Source organism: Homo sapiens, chromosome 1 (genome assembly GCF_000001405.40).
Source record: "Homo sapiens chromosome 1, GRCh38.p14 Primary Assembly".
In the NCBI taxonomy this organism is placed as follows: Eukaryota; Metazoa; Chordata; class Mammalia; order Primates; family Hominidae; genus Homo; species Homo sapiens.
Genome location: NC_000001.11, coordinates 155,967,549 through 155,985,128, shown reverse-complemented (window position 1 = coordinate 155,985,128; position 17,580 = coordinate 155,967,549). Strand labels below are relative to the sequence as shown.

Here is a 17,580-nt window from a genome sequence, read left to right as displayed (position 1 = left end):
GGCTGGAGTGCAGTGGCGCAATCTCACCTCACTGCAACCTCTGCCTCCTGGGTTTAAGTGATTCTAGTACCTCAGCATCCTGAGTAGCTGGGACTACAGAAGCGCGCCACCACACCCGGCTAATTTTTGTATTTTTAGTAGAGAAAGGGTTTCACCATGTTGGCCAGGCTGGTCTCAAACTCCTGAGCTCAAGTGATTCGCCTGCCTTGGCCTCCCAAAGTGCTGGGATTACAGGCGTGAGCCACCATGCCTGGCCTCAGAATGGCTTTATTCAAATAAGCAATCTGAATTCTGGACTTTGGAATTCTGAAACTCCTACCAATGAAAGCGGACATAGGACATAGTGAGGTTCTCCAGCCTCCCCTGTCACCAGAGATGCAAGACAGTTACCTGCAATATACCTTGTCCTCAAGATGGAGTATTGGGAGCTCTGGGTGAAACCTCTGAAACATCAGTCTCCCAGCCACTGTCTCCACATAACCCGGTGCTCTGTTCCCATGGCTCCTAAATTCTTCAGCTCTGCCCTGCTTAGACCCCGCCCTCTCTCCCTGCTGCCCACTGCCCGCCCTCAGGAATAGCGTCACATGCACCTGCAGCTTGGGAACCTGATCTAGGTGAAGCGGGTGGGGGAGGAAGCCCTGGGCGCCTTTGTCTGGCTTTAGCTAGACACTTCTCATCTCCTTTTGTGTTGGCAGGGAATGTATCCCAGTCCTCTGCCATTGACCTCAGGAAACGGTGAGTGTGGGGGACTCAGAATCCTTCAAAAGCCTCTATAGGGGAACAGCAATAGGGTCTAGGCTATGGTTTTGTAGCCCCAGTGGGTTCCCTGCTTCCTGAATCATTCCTCCCCTTAACATTTCTGATCTAAGACCTCCAAATATCCTTCCCTGAGCTGCATAGAATTCACCCTCTCTTCTTTGGTTTGGGTGGGCTCACCAGGTTCCCGGTAGCTGCATGAGATGGGGGGAGAAATTAGGAGAAAAGGAGTATCCAGGGCACAGGGTGTCCATTGAATAATAGAGCATGGGAGTTGCTTGCTGTTGTCAGTGGTATAGGGTAAAAGGGCAGATAGACTGTTGAACAGTCTTAGTGAGGGACAATGACCAAGGACCATGGATCAGCTTAGGATGGCTCAGATAATAGACCAATGGGGATTGGCCCTAAGGAGAGCTGGGCAAGGGCTGTGGAGCTCCCAGCAGAGGGCAGGGCCTGAAGGCAGAGTTCAGGTCTGGAGGTGGAGGCTGGGAGATTTGAATAACTATGTAAATAAGCATGCAAAATCAGCACCTGCTTATTTGGCTCCTATGGCTGAAGCCTGATTAGAGTGGGTCAGCCCTCTAAGACAGTGTGGATGTGTAAGCAAGTAATGGTCCCTTTAAGATATCAGGCTCTGCTTTGTGGTCCTGAAAATCTCTAGCTGACACATCCTCCTGGCTCTGGGTTTGGGATTAGCTCATGGGATGGGGCTGATGAAATCCCAGGAAATTCAGTCCTTATTGGCTTTAGGCCCAGAGGCCTTCTCCAAACAGCAGAGAGGGTCGTACACAGGGCTCTTGTTCTGAGAGGAGAAAATGCCCCCCGGGAGAGCCTCCGCCCCATACCACTTCCGTTGGGGAGCAGCATGAGGAGGCTGGGCCTCCCATCCTGAGCCTGGATTAGGTAGGAAGGAGGAGTCTGTATTTATCTGGGTGGAGCCTGGAGTTTTCTTCCTAAATAGAGGGGCCTGGGAAACTGAAATGCCCACATCCAGGAAGTCCTAGGAGGTCAGGATGGGGGCTTATCTTTCTCTCCCAATCCTTCCTCTTTCTTCCTTCCCATTCTGGCTCTGCTGGTCATGGCACCTTCATCCACCATCTCTCAGGAAGTTATCTTTTTCTTCATTTCCAGCATTACCTCCATCTCCTCATGTCTTCTTTTTCTCTATGCAGCTGCAGCCAGCTGGAAGGACATTCAGGTACCCGGGTAGGCTCCTCCCTGCGACAGACCTTCAGCTTCCTCTCGGGCATGACCGGAAAGGCCAAGGTAGGAGTCAGCTGGGGAAGCAGGAGGCTTGGGACCCACTGCCCTCTCCAGTTCCCTTTCTCCCATCCCACCATCGCCACCTCCCACCACTCCCCCTATTAGAAACTCAGAGCAATGGTTCCATTTTTTATTTTTTTATTTTTTTAAGAGAGGGGGTTTCTGTCTCCCAGGCTGGAGTACAATGGCACAATCATAGCTCACTGCAGCCTCTAACTCTTGGGCCCAGGAAATCCTCTTGCCTTTACCTCCCAAAGTGCAGGGATTACAGGTGTGAGCCACTGTGCCCAGCCAAATGCTTCAAATTTTAAGGAAACACATGCTATCTCTTCCAGCCTGTGTCTCTGTGTCCCAGTAAATCACCTTTTCTCTGCTTTCCCCTACGCATCCAGCTTAGCAGTCAGCTGTGGACAGATGGAAGGGGAAAAGGGCCAGGAACCTCAGAAGCTGAGGAATGGCCTAGCCCTCCCTCTCTTTAGGCCTCACATAGCTGACAGGTGGGCAGCGGAAACCTCAACCATTGGACATAATAATGATAATAATTACAGCACTACTTTTTACTTCTTCATAGAGTATCAGGGTTTGCAAAGTGCTTTTACACTCATAATTTTATGGGTGGGTACAGCAGCTGAAGGAGTTGAAATTAGACCACAGGCAGAGTAGAAGCTGGGAAAGTATATGATTATGGAAGCACATGCATACCCGTACATGTGCGGCCATGTGCTGTTCTGATCCCAGGAAGTGAAGGCACATTGTTCTCATCCTTATTACCAACCGTTGGGCTCTGGTGAAACCGGGAGCTCTGCCTGCTCCTTGAATTTGTTTCCACTTTCTTCATTTACTGTCAGAGTGAGCCGCCCCCCTTTTCCTCCCCTGGCCTCCCCAAGTATGCATGTGCTTTCCAACTCGGGGCGGCTTCTGAGTATTGAAAGAAACCCCAGGGAAATCATCATCATATTCACCTTGAAGAGCCATGAGATTCTCACCAGTAAGGTTGCCTGGGCTCCTCCCAGCCCCACCCGCAGTGCCAGGGTTCTCCCCTCTTCCAGCCTTTTTTTAGCCAAGATTCCCTTTTCTCTGGGTGGGCTGGGAAGGTCAAGATGAAAGCAGGTCATGTTGTTAGCACCTCTCACCACAGGCCATGGGTCGGGAGTTGAGGCTAATGGAGGCATGAGACTGGGTGAGTCTCAGAAGAGGAGCAGCTGGAGAATCTGAAAGCTGATGGGAGGGGAGGGCAGGTGGGACAGAGAGGTTTCTCTCCCATGGGGGAATGGAGATCTCGAAGGAACAAAGCAAAAGCAGAAACCTTGGGGTCTGAGTCTCACCTTCCTACAGGCTGTCTCACTGCAGGGTAGGGGAGTCTGCTAGTGGAATCACTCCCTTTTCTTGCCATGGGAATGGTAGGGGAAGTCAGTACTGCCCAGGGGCCATCCAGATCCCGGTTGGTCTGTTTGTCCACCCTTGACCTAACAGTCTGATGGAGGGTTGAGCAACCTGGTGAAGGGGAATGAGGGCAGAGACTCTGGAGCCCAGATGGGAAAGAGGGAAGCGCCAGAGTGAGTCAGGACATTGCCTCGCTCAGCCTTTCCTCCCCACGTCTGTCATCCTGTCTTCCTCTGTTTCCCTCTCCACCATCTCCTGCTACATCTTCCTTCCACCTTCATGAATGTGTGGGCCTGCTTCACTTAATCTCTTTCTCCATAAGCAGTAAACATCAGGGGGTGGGGCTGGAGAGAAGCTCAGTCAAGCAGTGAGAGAAGGAAGTAGCTTAGTCCCTCCTACTTGAGTAGCATTGCACACTTGATGAAACACTTTCAACTCATTTAATTCTTATAACAATTCTGGCAAAGATAAGTATTTCAATCTCAATTCTACAGACAAATACTTAAAGGTTAGTTACTTTGCCCAAGATCTCACAGCTCATAAGAGGTGGCGCCGTATTAGAAACTCAGGGCTTTGGCTGTGTATTGCCACTGTTTCTCTCAATAGCCGTAACACAACAGTTCATTCCCTCTCATCCTTCCCTTCTTCCAGCTTCTGGCTGGATGGCCACTTAAGGCAATTTGGCCTTAATCACCTCCTCCCAGAATATACAAGGTCCAGACCAATAGAAGAAAGAAGAAAAACAAACCACCTTGGGACAGTGTAGAGCTTGGGCTTGGGTATCCTCGGGAGACCCATCTCTTCTCCAACTGGCCGAGACTTTGGCAACCAGGTTCTTCCCTGGGACCTCCTCCCTACCCCTGAAATGGGAGGGACACATTTCGTCAAGTTAAATGGGCTAAAGAAGGTGATGGCTATTTTTAGATCCTGGTAGAAATGTTTGTTTCTGTGTATCTAAAAAATTATTTCTGAAAATCTGGAAGATATCACTGGATAGGAGTAGAGGGGGCGCTGGAATGAAGAAGGGTCTTGGAAAAGGGGGGCAGGTGACACCAAGGAGAAGGGAAAAGTGTTCATTGTTCAAGAGGATATAGAAAACGGAAACTGAGTCAAGCTGCAGGCCAAGCTCACTAAACACAGGTGTTTTTAAAGGCAGAACACTTTTCTTTTCCCTGTCCCTAGTCCCTTTCCTTGTTATTCATCTCCTAAGGGGAAGAAGAGGGCATAGGGTGAGGGGTAGGGTAACAGCAGGTGGGATGGAAAGTAGACTGAAGGTTGGGGTGGGAGACAGAAAAGAGTTGGAGGGTCGGGTCCTCTTCTTTCATAGAGACCTTCTTAGTTGAGTTGAGGGACCATGAGGTCGCTTGAAAAACCCCAGGGTTCAAATTCTATGTTTCCTGGGTACCCAGGCTGGAGTGTGGCCCTTTAAGATTCTATCCATAGCTTGCAGCACCCTCCTGCCCCAGGCCTGGGAGAGAAGCTGAGGTCCCACCCCAGATCTTGTCTCTGGGCCTCCAGTGGGTGGAACCTTGAGGCCAAGATTCTAGCCTCTGGCTGTCTGTTTTTAAATTTAGTACATTCCTGAGTCTTGGCTGCCCACCTCAGGGGAGGTGAGTCTGGAGTTCTGGGGCCAGGAGCCTCAGGCCTCTTGGTTTGGGGGAGTTCCTACACCCTCCCCGTAGGTATACTTGGCAGGTGCAAGCCAGGAAGAACAAGCTGTGGCCCTGGGGAAGTCCTTCCTGCTTTCTAATGTCCATCCAGCCTGAACTGGGCACGGTTTATTTCCTCTTCCTTTTTCCTGGTCTTTGCTATTTAAGGATTCTAAACAGGGGAATGGGTGAAGAAGGAGGTGAAGGAGTTGCTAGGAAGGAGGGGAAGCCGGAGGGGCAGTGTGGGGGTAGTGCTGGGGGTGAGGAGCCCAACCAGCTCAGCCAGTGGTGAGGTAGTGGAGCCCAAAAATAGTGGCAGAGGCTAAAATTGGCACCTACAAGAGTGCTGAGTTGGGCTTGAAACCTGCAGCCTGGCCCCACTGCTGAGCCAGGGCAGAGAACTGCTGGATCTGGGTTGGGTCTCCCCTCCCTCCCTTCTTCTCCCACGCCCTTTGGGGCCAGAATCAGGCAGGACCCTGCTAACCGAAGGCTCTGTCCCAGGCCTCTCTGTGCTTCTGGTTTCTCCAGAGAAATGGGAGACCCTGAGAGGCAGAAATGAACTTCACTGTAAGTGATCATAGTTAGACTGGAGGAGGAATTTTCCCAATAGCAGGAAACTCACCCAAAGGCTGGCTCAGGCTGGGGAAAAGGGTCCAGAGAGATGAATGCCCCACCTTACCCTGCTTCTTGGGGAGAGGCTGGTTGGGCCCTAACTTTCTTTGACTAGGGCAGGCTGGTTTCTGGTCTTTCAGTTCCGGCTTAACTTGCAACAGAGAGAACTGCAGTTAGACACATGGAAGGCCTTCGGTAAAAGTGGAGAATCCCAACCTAGTCCCCCAAAGTAGCTGGCAGAGGCGGAGCTAGGAGGAGGGCAGAGTGGGGTCAGGAAGGCCCCAGAAGGGTGGGGCATGTGGGAGAATTCTCTCCTCTCTGTTCTTCGACCTCTGGGAGTGAATCCTACCCTTCCCGTGTACTGAAGATCCAGCGTTTAGTTCTCCTTTGATTTCCTCTCCCTCTGGCCACCCCTGCCCCCAATCGTAAAAGGGGTCAGTCTGCTCAGGCCTGCTTTGATGGGACCCCGAAGGCCAGGAAGGAACTGGTCCTGGGTTTTCTAAGAGCTGGGGGCGGATGGAATTCTCCTGCCTGCGGGTCTTTAAAGACTGAGGTAACGCAGTAGGGGAGGGAAAAAGGGAGGGCGAGGGGAGAAGGGAAGAAGGGGAGGGCAGAGGGGAAAGGGCCAACCTGGGTCCGGCGAGGGCTGCGGGGCTGGGTTTTAGGAAAAGAAGAGCTAAGAGGCGGGTCTCTGGGGCTAGAGGGCGCCCCCAGGCGCTGGAGGGGAAATAGGCAGAGGGGCCTCTCAAACCTGTCCTAGGACCCTCGTACCTCTCCGAGCTGCCCCCACACAAACCCTGGCGTCCCGTCCTGCGCGCGGGCACCCCGCCCTCCCTCCGCTCCGCCTACCCCCTTCCTGAGCTTGGGCGGGGGAGGAGACTCGGGTTTGAGGAACTGGTGCTGGGTGCCGGGCGAGGGGAGTCAGACTTCCTGTCCCCGAGACCAACGCGTGCGGGCCGAACCCCTCCCCCCGCCTTCCCCCAACAATACAGGACGCCGGGGTCCGCGCCGCGTCCTCCCTGGTCCCCCCGTCCGATTATGTCTCGGATCGAATCCCTCACGCGGGCGCGGATCGACCGGAGCAGAGAGCTGGCGAGCAAGGTGGGCTCGGAAACCCCTCTCCTTTCGCCGCGGTCCTCGGGTGCTCCCCGAACCCCGGCACCCGCGGTGCATCTCCTGTCTCCCCGCCTGCTTTCTGGGCGCCAAAATCGGGCGGAGCGGTGGATCGGCGAGCGGCGGGACGGGGTGGGTGGGGACTGCGAGCGAGTGGGTAGGGGTGGGGGGAGCGGCAGACGCGACGGTGCTGGGATCCCGGGAGGGAGCGGAGCGGACCTGGGCTTGGTCGCCTCCAAGCCGGCGGGACCGAGTGCTTTAGGCCGCTTGAAAGAAAGTTGCTCCGGTAAGGGACGGAGCGGGAAGAGGGAGGTGTGTGTCTCGCGGGTGGGGGCGGTGGAAGCTCCGGCACCTCCTCTCACCCCGGGCCCCACCGGCTTGGGCTTGGCGTGGCGACCCCCCATCACTCCCCAATCGCTGGCTTGGTCGTTCCCCCTTTGTCCCCGCCATCCGGCGGAGGGGACGGGAGGGGGTGGTTTCCCGGCTTCCTCCCACCACCACCACCACCCCTCCAAGACAAAAGTCAGCTCCTCCTCTCCTCGCAAATGGACTTTCCAGCTGTGATTCAGTTCTCCCCTCTGGGTGGGCGGGTGGCTGGGGTCGGGACGGCCGAGGGACGGCTTACTTCCCCCAAACCATCACCTCTAGGTGAAGGGAGCAGAGGTCTTTGTGTAGCTGGGCTCCTTTCCTCCATCCTGAGCCCTTCTGCCTGGAACATAGGGCCTCCATCCCTATCTGCCCCGCCAGCCTCCTAGCTCTTCCTTCTCCCAACCTGAAACCCTTAGGCTGACACACCTGGCACTATGCATTGTGTTCCCTGCCCTTCCTCCTCCTCCCCCAGCGCTCTCATTCTCTTATCTGCTCGTCTTGGGGTCCCTTCACCTAGCATTTCATGAGTCTGGGTGTATAATTATCCACACGCCTCCCCCATCATGACCTCTTGGCCACTCCTCTCCAAGTACCCTTTATCCCTGCCTTTGTACCCAGCCCCATTCCCAAGTGCCCTGACCTTTCCACACCCAGACCCCAGGAAATGATGAAGCTGACTTGCAGGTGAATAAGTCAGAGCTGAAAGGAAGGTGGTGCCTGCAGACAGCACCTCCCAGCTCCTTTGGGGCCCCCGCACTGTACCCATTATCAGAAAGGACAGGTCCCAGCCCAGAGTTGGTTTAATCTCTGGCTTCTCTCCAACCTGAGTGCCCTACTACCCTGGTGCCAGCCTATGCTGATCACCAACTTCAGCCAAGGGAGCAGTACCCCTTAGGAGTCCTTAAGGGTGATGGAAAGCCCTCCCCTCCACCTCCCTGGTAGTTCCTAGCCAGGCTACCTGTCTTGATGCTAAACTGGGAGAGACAGAGGTTCCATCCTGGGTTGGGGGTGGAGGGCCAGGGAAAGCAGCTTTAAAAGGACTTTCCTTAGGGGGTTGGGATTAGATTTTGCTATCTGGAAAGCAACTGGGGATTCGAGTAGGGCCTAAGACAAACAGAGGGCCGGGGTGAGGTGGCTGAAGTGTGGTGGAACAGTGGGGTGGCAGACAGGCTCTTCACAGCCTGCGCCAGCCCAGGCCCCAGCTCCAAAAGTCTGTTTATTTTTTCAACCGTTTGAGCTGAGACCCTGGAGTAGAGCCAAGGGGGGCGGGGGAGGTTTTTTGAAACCGCAGAAATTTGGTTCCACCCTAAAAAGGAAAGCCATGGGGGAGCTGGTTGGGGGAAGACCTGGCTAGGGGGTATAGAGAGCGGTTCTGTGGGGGCAGGTAGCTACTGGGATCCCTTTTCCATTATTGTGGGGAGCTGGGACGTCAGACATCTGGGTGTTCATGCTCTGTTTTTGTTTTTGTTTTTGGTGGTGGGGGGACTGGCTCTTCTTTCTACTATGGGGGCTGGCTGTGTGGGGCAGGTAATTTGGGAATCTGGCTGGCAGCAGGGAGTCGGGGGCTGAGTGGGTGGATCTGAGAGGGCAAAGAGGCCACCGGAGAAGGGTGGTTGTCAGTTTGGGCCGGTCGGAAGGGGAGGGCCACCTCCGGAAAACTGTGGTTACAGAAGGGGGAGTTGGTTCTTAGCCAACAAACCCTGGATCCCCTCTCCCCCTCCCCCCAGCACACCAGCTGTCTCCTTTCTTTTTATACTGTGGTGGGAAGTAGAGGGGCACCCGCTGGAAAAGACATTATTTGAAGAAGATGGTGTCCCCTGCTACCTCCTTGGGGGGATGGGTCACAGCTAAGCCCTGACACCTCAGCCCCTCCCCATTCCTTGCCTCATTCCCTGGGAGCTCCTCCTAGGAGGAGGAATGTAAGTTTAACCTGCCCCTTTCTCTGTCCCATCCTCACAGGATCTCTCTGTGTAGCCCCCTCCATGCTTCCTTTTTCTTTTCACTCCATTTCTGTTCTCCCAGGCTGTCTTCAGTCCTCCACCTCCTCTGTTCTCTCTGCTCTACTTCCTACCTCCACAAGCCCCAAACCTCACAGGTCCCCTTTCTCTCTTTAGTCCCCTGTTCTTCCCTTTCTCCTTTCCCAAACCCCAACCATCATATCCCTTAGAACAAAGGGTCCTTTTCTGCCAAGCAGGGACCAGAGGTCCAGGGATGGCTGTGGAGGCTGGGGGTCCCCTTGGAATCTCTGTGGTGGGCAGGTGGAGTGGGGAGTGTGCAGAGCGACTATTTCTTTGTTCTGAGGAATGGAGAGGTGGCTGGCTTTGTGTGCAGGACTAGGAGTGCAGTGGAGAGGAGAGCTGGGGGAGCCCAGGAGGGAGCTGAGAGGGCTGACGGTGTTGGAGGAGAGTGGAAGAATGGGGGGTCCTCCTGGTGGCTGAGGCTTCTGGGGACATAGACAAAAATTCTAGGGGTCGTGGAGGTTAGGGAGAGAGTTGAGGGGGAGGGGAGAAGTGAGGATAGGGGAAGGGAGTCTAAAGCTTAGGGAAGTCACTGAGTGACTTGCAGGAGGTTAGATGGGGCCTAGAGAAGGACCTACTGAGGCCGACCAGAGGAGTTACAGTGGGGTCTGATCTTAGCCACTCTGGCTGTGGAATTTGACCTTGGAATCAAGGAGGGGACAGATGTGAATGTGTGCATCCCCTGTGTGCATGTTACTGGTGTGCTGGTGTGTCAGTGTGTCTGTCTGCCTGCCTGCCCTCCTATTCTGTACCCAGATGCTCTGGGCTACTGTTTTGAACAGTGGTCAGCAAAGTAGGGGGTTCGTGCTCTCTGGCCACGAGGAAGTAGCTTCATCCTTAGCTTCAGTTTCTGGTTGGAAATATCATCTAGGAGCTGAGTGAGCGGATTGGTTAGGATTTCTGAAGCTGGTAAGAGAAAAGGCTGAGAGGAGCTGGCTGGACCCTTCCGGGTTTGTTTATGTCTCTTTGGGAGAGGGTGGGGGTGGGGTTGCAGGCAGCAGCTGCCCCCCTCCCAACCCAGCCGGCCTGCCTTGTGCCAGGAGGGCAGGGAGTCCTGGCACAGCTATTGTTCACTTGCACAAATGCCTGTCTGTTTGCATCGCTTACCCCCCCTCTCTTTCTGCTTGTCTCTCTCTCCTGGCCTGACAGGTGTGGCCGCGTAGGGGGCAGGCTGGGTTCCAGGATGCTTGGGTCTCAGGGTCCCTAACCTGATTTATTCCTTGTGGCCCTTAGCAATCCTCTTCCGTTTCACCCGTACCCACTCCCATTGCCAGTGTCTCATCTTCATTCACTAAGCAAGCATTTATTAAGTGCCTTTGTGTGTGCAGTGATGTCTTTCTGTGTTGTTTCTGGCTTTGGCATTAGTGTTTCCACTTGGCTGCCTTCCCCTCTGCCTCCTGTCTTCATCTTGTCCCTGGAAGCTCATAAAGGAGCAGGGCCCGGCTGAGACCACCCCAAGCCCTCTTCTCAGTCCCACCCCCAGCAATCCCTCACCTCTTCATTTCCCAGCCCTATAGCTCCTCCTCCAGGACTCAGTGCCCTTCATAGCCAACGGCGCCTCTGCTGTACAGGGGCTGAGCCACAGGTGACTCGAATCCTGGTGGAATGCTCCACAGGCTCTCCGGTCACTATTACAGAGGGTGTGGACAGAGGTGTCACCATCTTGGGGAAGGGGCTGCTGCCAGGTACAGCTGGAGGAGAGGTGATTCTGAGTACTCTGTGACTCTCCCAGAAGTCTTGATTTGGACATACCTGAGAGAGAAGCAAAGGCAGCTGAGAGAGCTGGGCACAGTGGCTCGCACCTGTAATCCTAGCATTTTGGAAGACCAAGGCAGCTGGATCGCATGAGCTCAGGAATTTGAGACAAGCCTGGGCAACATAGTGAGACCTCATCTCTACAAAAACATTAAGTTTTTAAAATCTATTATTAAAAAAAAAAAAGTCAGATGAGAGCTTAGGGCTTGCTTGGAGAAGCTCTACCTCGCCTGGGTGGATCTGCCTGGCCTTGCTGCCTGCTGGGAGCCCAGGAAGCCAAAGTCCTAGCCTTGGCATTGCCTTCCCCTCCATGTACGTCACTGTTTCCTCATCCCTTATTCTGGGAGACAAAGTGGAGAGAAGAGGGGAGACTGTGTTTGCCTTTGAGCTTTTCAGTAGAGATCCACAATGCCCTCTGCCATTGCTCCCATCTTTCTTTCTTTTTTCTTTTCTTTTTTTTTTTTTGAGACAGAGTCTCGCTCTGTCACCCAGGCTGGAGTGCAGTGGCATGATCTTGGCTCACTGCAACCTCCACCTCCTGCGTTCAAGCAATTCTCCTGCCTCAGCCTCCTGAGTAGTTGGGATTACAGGTGCCCACCACCATACCCGGCCAATTTTTGTATTTTTAGTAGAGATGGGGTTTTGCCATGTTGGCCAGGCTGGTCTCAAACTCCTGATCTCAAGTGATCTGCCCGCCTCGGCCTCTCAAAGTGTTAGGATTATAGGCATGAGCCACTGCGCTCGGCCTGGCCCTGTCTTTCTTTCCCAAAAGTGACTGAGATCTGGGATGACAGTGGAAGGAAGTTTGGGGTTGGTCTTCTGACTTCCAGAGGAAACCCTCAGGGTCTAAACTCAAAGGAAATAGGAGAGAATGGCTTAGAGCCCTTCAGGAGGAGGGAGAAAAGAGAAACAAGAAGAGACAGAAGGTTCTAAAGCTCTGATAAGGAAGGAAGAGGGTTTCCAGAATAGGGGCCAGGGTGCTACTGAGACCCCATGTCTTGGTGTCCATACATCCTTCCTTGCTTCTTTGCTTCCTTCCTTTTCTTTCATTTTGAGACATGTATTGGGTGCCTATTGTATACCAGGTATTGTGCTAAGGGCTTTCATATTCTTTATTTATCCTTGATGTAGCAGTAGTGTGGATGAAGGTGTGTAGCAAGAAGAACTTCCCATGGGATTTGTGAGAAAGAGACAGAATGACTCTAGGTCTGAGCGTGGTGGCTCACACCTATAATTCTAGCACTTTGGGGAGGCTGGGGCAGGAGGATCACTTGATCCTAGGAGTTCGAGACCAGCCTGGGCAACATAGCAAGACGCTGTCTCTACAAAAAAAATTTAAAAATTAGGTGAGCATCATGATGCATGCCTGTGGTCCCAGCTATTTGGAGGGCTGAGGTGGAAGGATCACTTGAGCCCGGGAGGTCAAGGCTGCGGTGAGCCATGATCATGCCAATGTACTCCAGTCCAGGCAACAGAGTGAGACCCTGTCTCAAAAAAAAAAAGAAAAAAAAAAGTATCTAGATGCTGGAGAGCAAAGGACTGAACCAAGCAGGAAGGGCCTCTGAGCACTGGGGTGGGTGTTATGGATTGTGGAGTAATGGGCCCTTTTTCTTGGTGCATAGGTTGGGTCTTGGAGGTAAAGGGCTGTCCTACTTGGGCGTGGGTAAATGGGAGACCAATGTGATTATCTTAAGAATACCTGGAAAAGAGTAGGACAAAGAACCAAACAAGCCCACTCACTCCACCTCTGGAGCAGGCACCCCTGGTAAGCAGGCCCTATGTCCTTCCATCCTCAGAAGCCTGAGCCCTGGGGCGGGCACAGGCAACCTCCGGGACAATAGCACTAGGCAGTGCCAGGGTCGCTTGCTGCTGGGCAGTGCCCATGCTGGGATGTGCTGCTGCTGTGGCTGCTGCCCGCTGCTGGCCCACCTAGAGCAGGGGTCACTTCGAGAGAGGGTGAGTGTTGGGAGGTGGAGGAGGCAGGGCCCAGAGTACCAGGGCTGTCTGTGGAGCATTGATGCCAGAGAGAGGAAGGGCCACTAGAGACCCTGTTCTCTGGCTGCCCCAGTCTTCTCCCTCCCTTTGCCACTCCATCTGAGCTGGTCAGACAGATGAGTGTTTGTGGATGCCACAGGGGGAGGGTGGAGGGCAAAGGACAGAGGTCAGGTGTGGAAGAGAGTACTCGTAGCAGCACTGGGGCAGAGCTGCAGCACTGCCCATTCTGGAGTGACCCTGGTCCAGCCATGTTGTTTTTTTTAATACTATTTTCAGCTTGCTTGCTTTTACTTATGTGTGTATATATATATATGTATATATTTTTTTTTTTTATAGAGATGGGTCTCGCTGTGTTGCTCAGGTTGTTCTCAAACTCCTGGCCTCAAGCGATCCTCCCACCTCAGCCCCGCAAAGTGCTGGGATTACAGGTGTGAGCCACCTCACCGGCCTCTTGCTTTTAATTCAAATGTAATACATGCTCAAACTTTTGGTTTGAGTTATATAGAAGGCTGGGAGGGCAGGAGAGGAGGAGAAAAGGGAGAGTATATGGCAGTGGGAAGAGATTTTTGGACTTGGTGTTTGAGGTCCTGTGAGGTTATTATTCAAAGGTGAATTTGAACTTCTTTTTTTTTTTTTGAGACATAGTCTCACTCTGTGGCCCAGGCTGGAGTGCAGTGGCCCAATCTCAACCCACCACAACCTCCAACCTCCCCGGTTCAAGCAATTCTCCTGCCTCAGCCTCCCAAGTAGCTGGGATTACAGGTGCCTGCCACTACGCCCAGCTAATTTTTTGTATTTTTAGTAGAGATGGGGTTTCACCATGTTGGTCAGGCTGGTCTCGAACTCCTGACCTCAGGTAATCCACCCGCCTCGACCTCCCAAAGTGCTGGGATTGCAGGTGTGAGCCACTGCACCCAGCCTGAATTTGAACTTCTAAAGAGGTATAATTTGGTGCAAGATAGGTGGAGGTTAGACCAAAGGGAGCATTTTCTAGTGGTCCGGGTAGGTAGGTGCCAGAATAGAAAAAAGGAGGCCAGAACATTTTAGAGGTTTGAGTTAGAGGCTAGAGGCAGCTCAGCTTCCTGAATAAGCCTAGGTAGAGGAGCAGTTGGCCTGCGTGAGGAGGAGGGGAGGAGAGGCTGTGGGCGGGAGAGGAGAACAGTGGCGGAGAAGCAAGGCTGAGAAAGGGAAGGCAGAGCGGGAGGAGCCTAGGAGGGAGACCCTGAGAAGAGAAGGGAGGACATAGAGAGAGCAGGAGACAGGAGGAGGATGCGAAAAATGGATGATTGGGGATGGGGAGGATGCATGAGGGGAGAAGGGATTGACCCCAAGACCTCTGGGCTCTGGACATCATCAGGCAAACCTGGAGCTTGGGAAGAGAGGCAGGAAAGAGAAGGATCTTGGGCCCAGGCACTGCAGCCCCATGCCCTCTGTCCCTGCACTGTTGACTCAGCCCCTCCACACTTCCCCTTTCTTTCTACCATTTTCTGCCCCAAGCACCAGGCCCGTGCATCTCTTCCCCTCCTCCACCTCTCAGCTGCTGGCGTGGCCTCGTGGCCTCGGCTGAGTCAGTACTGGTCTCCTAGAGTCCGGGCTGAGTGCTTCCCGCTGAACTGTAATCCTCTGTCCCCAGTCCAGGTCCTCTGACTTGGGGCTTCTACCCTCAGCCATCTGGATCCTGATTTTTGATTTCTGAGAGCCTGGGAAACCTTGGAGGGAGTGGTCTTCTCAGCTTCTAGTCCTGCTCCAAGAGCGGAGGGAAAATCCAGAGATCAGAGTCACAACTAAGGAAGGTCCTAGAATAGTGGGAAGAGTGATATCCCCCTCTTCTCACCTTCTCAGGCTTTTTGGGAATCACAGGGGCTTGAAGAGGGACAGATTGGAGGTCAGGGAGAATGACTTGACTTGCAGAGGCAGGGGCACTGGGGGAAATGGGAGACAGCAGAGATGGAAAATGCGGCTCAGAGGCTCCGAGGAAGGTGTGCGCCATCTGCGGAGATCAACACTGAAGGATGGAGGGTAGATGTCAGAAAGGACTTCCTAGGATGGGAGAGACCAGTTGGGTAAGGAGCAATAGAGGAAACTCTCCTAGGTTTTAACTCTGGAAAGTAGTATGAGAGGGATAAAAGTTAGACTGCAGGAGAGATTTTCCGCTGGAAGCAACCAAGATGGCTGGCTGAGCTTCCTTACTTAAAGATCCCAGAGTGGAAGAGTGACCCAAAGGCAGCTAGCTGCCTTTGCCTCAAGGTTAGTAGGGGACATGCTGCCTCCCAGACAGGCCCTGTGTGCCGTGGCTGAGGGTTGGTGAAAAGAGTTAGAGGTCTGGGATCCTGACCCCTGGGTTGGGGGTGGCAGGGGAGGCATTCTGCCCCCTTCAGCCAATCTAATAAGGGGATCTCCTGCCCCCCCCACTGTGACTGCCACAGAGACAGCAGATCCAACACTGGTTGTCATGGTTATAAGAGGAGCTAACTCCCATAGATTGGAAAGCGCTGGTGAGCTGGCACCCTCCGCTTCGCCTGCTCTCCCCTCCTCTCTGCGCATCTTCCCCCTAGCACAGAGAAGAGAGTACAGCAGCTCGGGGGTGAGCAGAGCTAGGGCTGGGAAGGTGGAGTGAGGACGCAGAGACCTAGAGCCAGGGAGATGAGTGGCAACAGGAGGCAGCCCAGCCGTAGGGGCCAGGTAGGTCAGGGACCCAGAACCCATCCGGGCTGGCTGCCCCAGAGCCTGGCCTGGTCACTCCCGGACAGCTGCCTCTGACACCCAGTTGCAGGCTCTGCTTTAGGAACTGGTGTCTTTCCAGCATCCTCAGGCTGGCATTTTTTCCTTGCCTCTGCCCCCAGCCTGTCTCTCTGGACTCCAGGCACCCTGGCATTTTCCAGCCTCACTTCCTCTCCCTCTCATCCCTTCCACAGACCCGGGAAAAGGAGAAGATGAAGGAAGCCAAGGATGCCCGCTATACCAATGGGCACCTCTTCACCACCATTTCAGTTTCAGGCATGACCATGTGCTATGCCTGTAACAAGAGCATCACAGCCAAGGAAGCCCTCATCTGCCCAAGTAAGTTGTTTGGACCCTGAGAGTCACCCAGACTCGGTGCCCACTGACCCTGATCTTTTCATCTGTTTTTTCTGCCTGGATCCATGAGGGTCACTCTTCTCTCTGATCCCCAGCTGGGCCCAAATGCCAGGGCCAGTTGCTTGATCCCTTGCTCCCTGTCCTCACTCTGAGGGGTGGTGGCTGTTGGAATATGGCATAAGCCGGACTATCTGGGAATGTGGGGGAGGGGAGGCTGTGCTGGCTCCTCTTGCAGCTGTCATCCACCAGGCACCCCCCTTGCTCCCCGAACAGCTGCTAAGGGTTAGGGGAACTGATTGGAGAAGGAGCAGGAATGTTGTATGTGTGGAGGGGGTGGGGTGGGGGGTGACAGAGGAACTGGGTGGAAAGCTGCCAGCCTTGCAGCTGGCTCTGCCTGTCTTCCTGCGCAGAGCTGGGCATTCAGGACTTCACAGTCCCCTTGCCCCTTTCTTTCTATTGACTATGGGTGGAGCCTGAAATCTCTGCTGTTTCAAGCAGAAGATGTGATTAGGACCCTTCATCTCAAATTTCTAGTGAGAAAGAGGGAATGTAGCAGGGATGTGTGTGTTGAGGGGCAGGGGTTAGAATTCCTGCCCTTCATCCACATCTGAGTGTAGTCCTGTCTTTAGGGAGTATAAGCCAGGAATTCTTTCCTTCCCCAGTACACAGAGGGCTCCTGCTGCCCCCTCTCCCTCAATTCCTCCTGAAGTTATGGCAGAGATGCCTCTGATTAGAGCAGGATTGAAGGTATTGTGACCTGCTACTGAATAGCGGACAAAAGCTCTAGCCTGTAAATCCCTATGAAACTTGGGGAAGGAACCCCCAGAAAGGACCAGTGATGGGCAACCCGCTCGGGTCCCCTTCTACGCTGTGGGAGCTTTGTCATTTTGCTCTTCACAATAAAGCTTGCTACCGCTCAAAAAAAAAAAAAAAAAGAAAGAAAAGAAAACCAGTGAAGCCTCCCTACTTTCCTCACTGTTCAATTTAGAGTTGTGAGGATGAGGAGGGAACCCCAATCTAGATCCCTATAGAGACCTGACAAAATTCCCAATCCGGAAGCTTGTTGCCAGGGGAACAGGGGAGGCGGGCAGCACTATTTTGAGAGCAGGTGGAAAGCGGAGGTTCAATCCAGAGACACTGAGTGTTGGGGGTAGGAGAAGGGAGCTCCAGGGGGGTGGGGGCAGCTGCAACCCCCACTTCTGTCTGCCCCCTCTGCTCCACCCTGTTTGCCTTGTATTTGTGGAAGTGAGCGTGGTGCTGGGTATTGTCTGAAAGAGTTAGCAGAGTTTCCGGTGTTGTTGGATGGGGGAGGGGAAGCTGGAGAGGGCCGGGAGCTGAGGGCATGTCTGGGAAGGGCACGGCCAGGGTCCCAGTGCCTAGGCTCAGCGAATCCTCCTTTCTTCTTCTCTCCTACCCCATGGCAAGGTGGGGTGGAGGATGGCGGAGAAGCAGATGGAGTGTGGGAGCTGTGGATTTGCCTGAGTTGGGGGAACAGGACTCCCTGGGCCTGGAAGGGAGAAGGCCAGGCTTGGTGGGGAGTTGCCTGTCCCTTCTTTACCACTGGAGCCATCAATCAGCCTTGGAGCTGC

At 53.8% G+C, this 17,580-nt stretch overlaps 1 protein-coding gene and 1 long non-coding RNA gene across 9 annotated transcripts in view, besides 15 other annotated features; one reads left to right on the top strand and one right to left on the bottom strand.

The window, feature by feature from the left end:
* Positions 1,202–1,701: an enhancer, noted in NCBI's record as "H3K27ac hESC enhancer chr1:155953219-155953718 (GRCh37/hg19 assembly coordinates)". NCBI's record gives its function as "activates a minimal SCP1, AML or CMV promoter by ChIP-STARR-seq in naive H9 embryonic stem cells {active_cell/tissue: H9 hESC(naive)}" and the evidence as "EXISTENCE:reporter gene assay evidence [ECO:0000049][PMID:30033119]".
* Positions 1,281–1,330: a silencer, noted in NCBI's record as "silent region_1413". NCBI's record gives its function as "represses an Ori minimal core promoter by ATAC-STARR-seq in GM12878 lymphoblastoid cells {active_cell/tissue: GM12878}" and the evidence as "EXISTENCE:reporter gene assay evidence [ECO:0000049][PMID:35858748]".
* On the bottom strand, positions 2,141–6,490 carry ARHGEF2-AS2 (ARHGEF2 antisense RNA 2). Of its 3 annotated transcripts, NR_183460.1 has the most exons (3): positions 6,435–6,490; positions 5,674–5,809; positions 2,141–4,262 (listed from the first exon to the last, which is right to left on the bottom strand). It is a non-coding gene; the product is annotated as an ARHGEF2 antisense RNA 2 (long non-coding RNA). The 3 variants fall into 3 exon arrangements; NR_183459.1 differs by lacking the exon at positions 5,674–5,809; NR_183461.1 differs by lacking the exon at positions 6,435–6,490 and having other exon boundaries at positions 5,674–5,866.
* Positions 3,164–3,223: an enhancer, noted in NCBI's record as "active region_1832". NCBI's record gives its function as "activates an Ori minimal core promoter by ATAC-STARR-seq in GM12878 lymphoblastoid cells {active_cell/tissue: GM12878}" and the evidence as "EXISTENCE:reporter gene assay evidence [ECO:0000049][PMID:35858748]".
* Positions 4,825–5,446: an enhancer, noted in NCBI's record as "H3K27ac-H3K4me1 hESC enhancer chr1:155949474-155950095 (GRCh37/hg19 assembly coordinates)". NCBI's record gives its function as "activates a minimal SCP1, AML or CMV promoter by ChIP-STARR-seq in naive H9 embryonic stem cells {active_cell/tissue: H9 hESC(naive)}" and the evidence as "EXISTENCE:reporter gene assay evidence [ECO:0000049][PMID:30033119]".
* Positions 5,388–5,437: an enhancer, noted in NCBI's record as "active region_1831". NCBI's record gives its function as "activates an Ori minimal core promoter by ATAC-STARR-seq in GM12878 lymphoblastoid cells {active_cell/tissue: GM12878}" and the evidence as "EXISTENCE:reporter gene assay evidence [ECO:0000049][PMID:35858748]".
* ARHGEF2 (Rho/Rac guanine nucleotide exchange factor 2) overlaps positions 5,512–17,580 on the top strand; it is a 32,764-nt gene continuing 20,695 nt past the window's right edge. For 2 of the 6 annotated variants that reach the window (NM_001162384.2, NM_001162383.2), the window contains exons 1-2: positions 6,582–6,764; positions 15,829–15,973. In NM_001162384.2, coding sequence (NP_001155856.1) covers positions 6,702–6,764; positions 15,829–15,973 — 208 coding nt within the window. In that variant the 5' untranslated portion in view covers positions 6,582–6,701. Of the gene's footprint in view, positions 5,619–5,972; positions 6,217–6,581; positions 6,765–6,953; positions 7,063–15,828; positions 15,974–17,580 lie in introns of those variants that run through there. The other 4 variants (NM_004723.4, NM_001350111.2, NM_001350112.2 and 1 more) reach the window with 3 other exon arrangements.
* Positions 5,908–5,977: an enhancer, noted in NCBI's record as "active region_1830". NCBI's record gives its function as "activates an Ori minimal core promoter by ATAC-STARR-seq in GM12878 lymphoblastoid cells {active_cell/tissue: GM12878}" and the evidence as "EXISTENCE:reporter gene assay evidence [ECO:0000049][PMID:35858748]".
* Positions 6,318–6,367: a silencer, noted in NCBI's record as "silent region_1412". NCBI's record gives its function as "represses an Ori minimal core promoter by ATAC-STARR-seq in GM12878 lymphoblastoid cells {active_cell/tissue: GM12878}" and the evidence as "EXISTENCE:reporter gene assay evidence [ECO:0000049][PMID:35858748]".
* Positions 6,428–6,587: a silencer, noted in NCBI's record as "silent region_1411". NCBI's record gives its function as "represses an Ori minimal core promoter by ATAC-STARR-seq in GM12878 lymphoblastoid cells {active_cell/tissue: GM12878}" and the evidence as "EXISTENCE:reporter gene assay evidence [ECO:0000049][PMID:35858748]".
* Positions 8,108–8,187: an enhancer, noted in NCBI's record as "active region_1829". NCBI's record gives its function as "activates an Ori minimal core promoter by ATAC-STARR-seq in GM12878 lymphoblastoid cells {active_cell/tissue: GM12878}" and the evidence as "EXISTENCE:reporter gene assay evidence [ECO:0000049][PMID:35858748]".
* Positions 8,304–8,805: an enhancer, noted in NCBI's record as "H3K4me1 hESC enhancer chr1:155946115-155946616 (GRCh37/hg19 assembly coordinates)". NCBI's record gives its function as "activates a minimal SCP1, AML or CMV promoter by ChIP-STARR-seq in naive H9 embryonic stem cells {active_cell/tissue: H9 hESC(naive)}" and the evidence as "EXISTENCE:reporter gene assay evidence [ECO:0000049][PMID:30033119]".
* Positions 8,948–9,207: an enhancer, noted in NCBI's record as "active region_1828". NCBI's record gives its function as "activates an Ori minimal core promoter by ATAC-STARR-seq in GM12878 lymphoblastoid cells {active_cell/tissue: GM12878}" and the evidence as "EXISTENCE:reporter gene assay evidence [ECO:0000049][PMID:35858748]".
* Positions 14,294–14,343: an enhancer, noted in NCBI's record as "active region_1827". NCBI's record gives its function as "activates an Ori minimal core promoter by ATAC-STARR-seq in GM12878 lymphoblastoid cells {active_cell/tissue: GM12878}" and the evidence as "EXISTENCE:reporter gene assay evidence [ECO:0000049][PMID:35858748]".
* Positions 14,354–14,533: an enhancer, noted in NCBI's record as "active region_1826". NCBI's record gives its function as "activates an Ori minimal core promoter by ATAC-STARR-seq in GM12878 lymphoblastoid cells {active_cell/tissue: GM12878}" and the evidence as "EXISTENCE:reporter gene assay evidence [ECO:0000049][PMID:35858748]".
* Positions 14,584–14,683: an enhancer, noted in NCBI's record as "active region_1825". NCBI's record gives its function as "activates an Ori minimal core promoter by ATAC-STARR-seq in GM12878 lymphoblastoid cells {active_cell/tissue: GM12878}" and the evidence as "EXISTENCE:reporter gene assay evidence [ECO:0000049][PMID:35858748]".
* Positions 16,801–17,032: a silencer, noted in NCBI's record as "fragment chr1:155937888-155938119 (GRCh37/hg19 assembly coordinates)". NCBI's record gives its function as "represses an EF-1alpha promoter that drives an FKBP-Casp9 reporter gene in an ReSE screen in K562 erythroleukemia cells {active_cell/tissue: K562}" and the evidence as "EXISTENCE:reporter gene assay evidence [ECO:0000049][PMID:32094911]".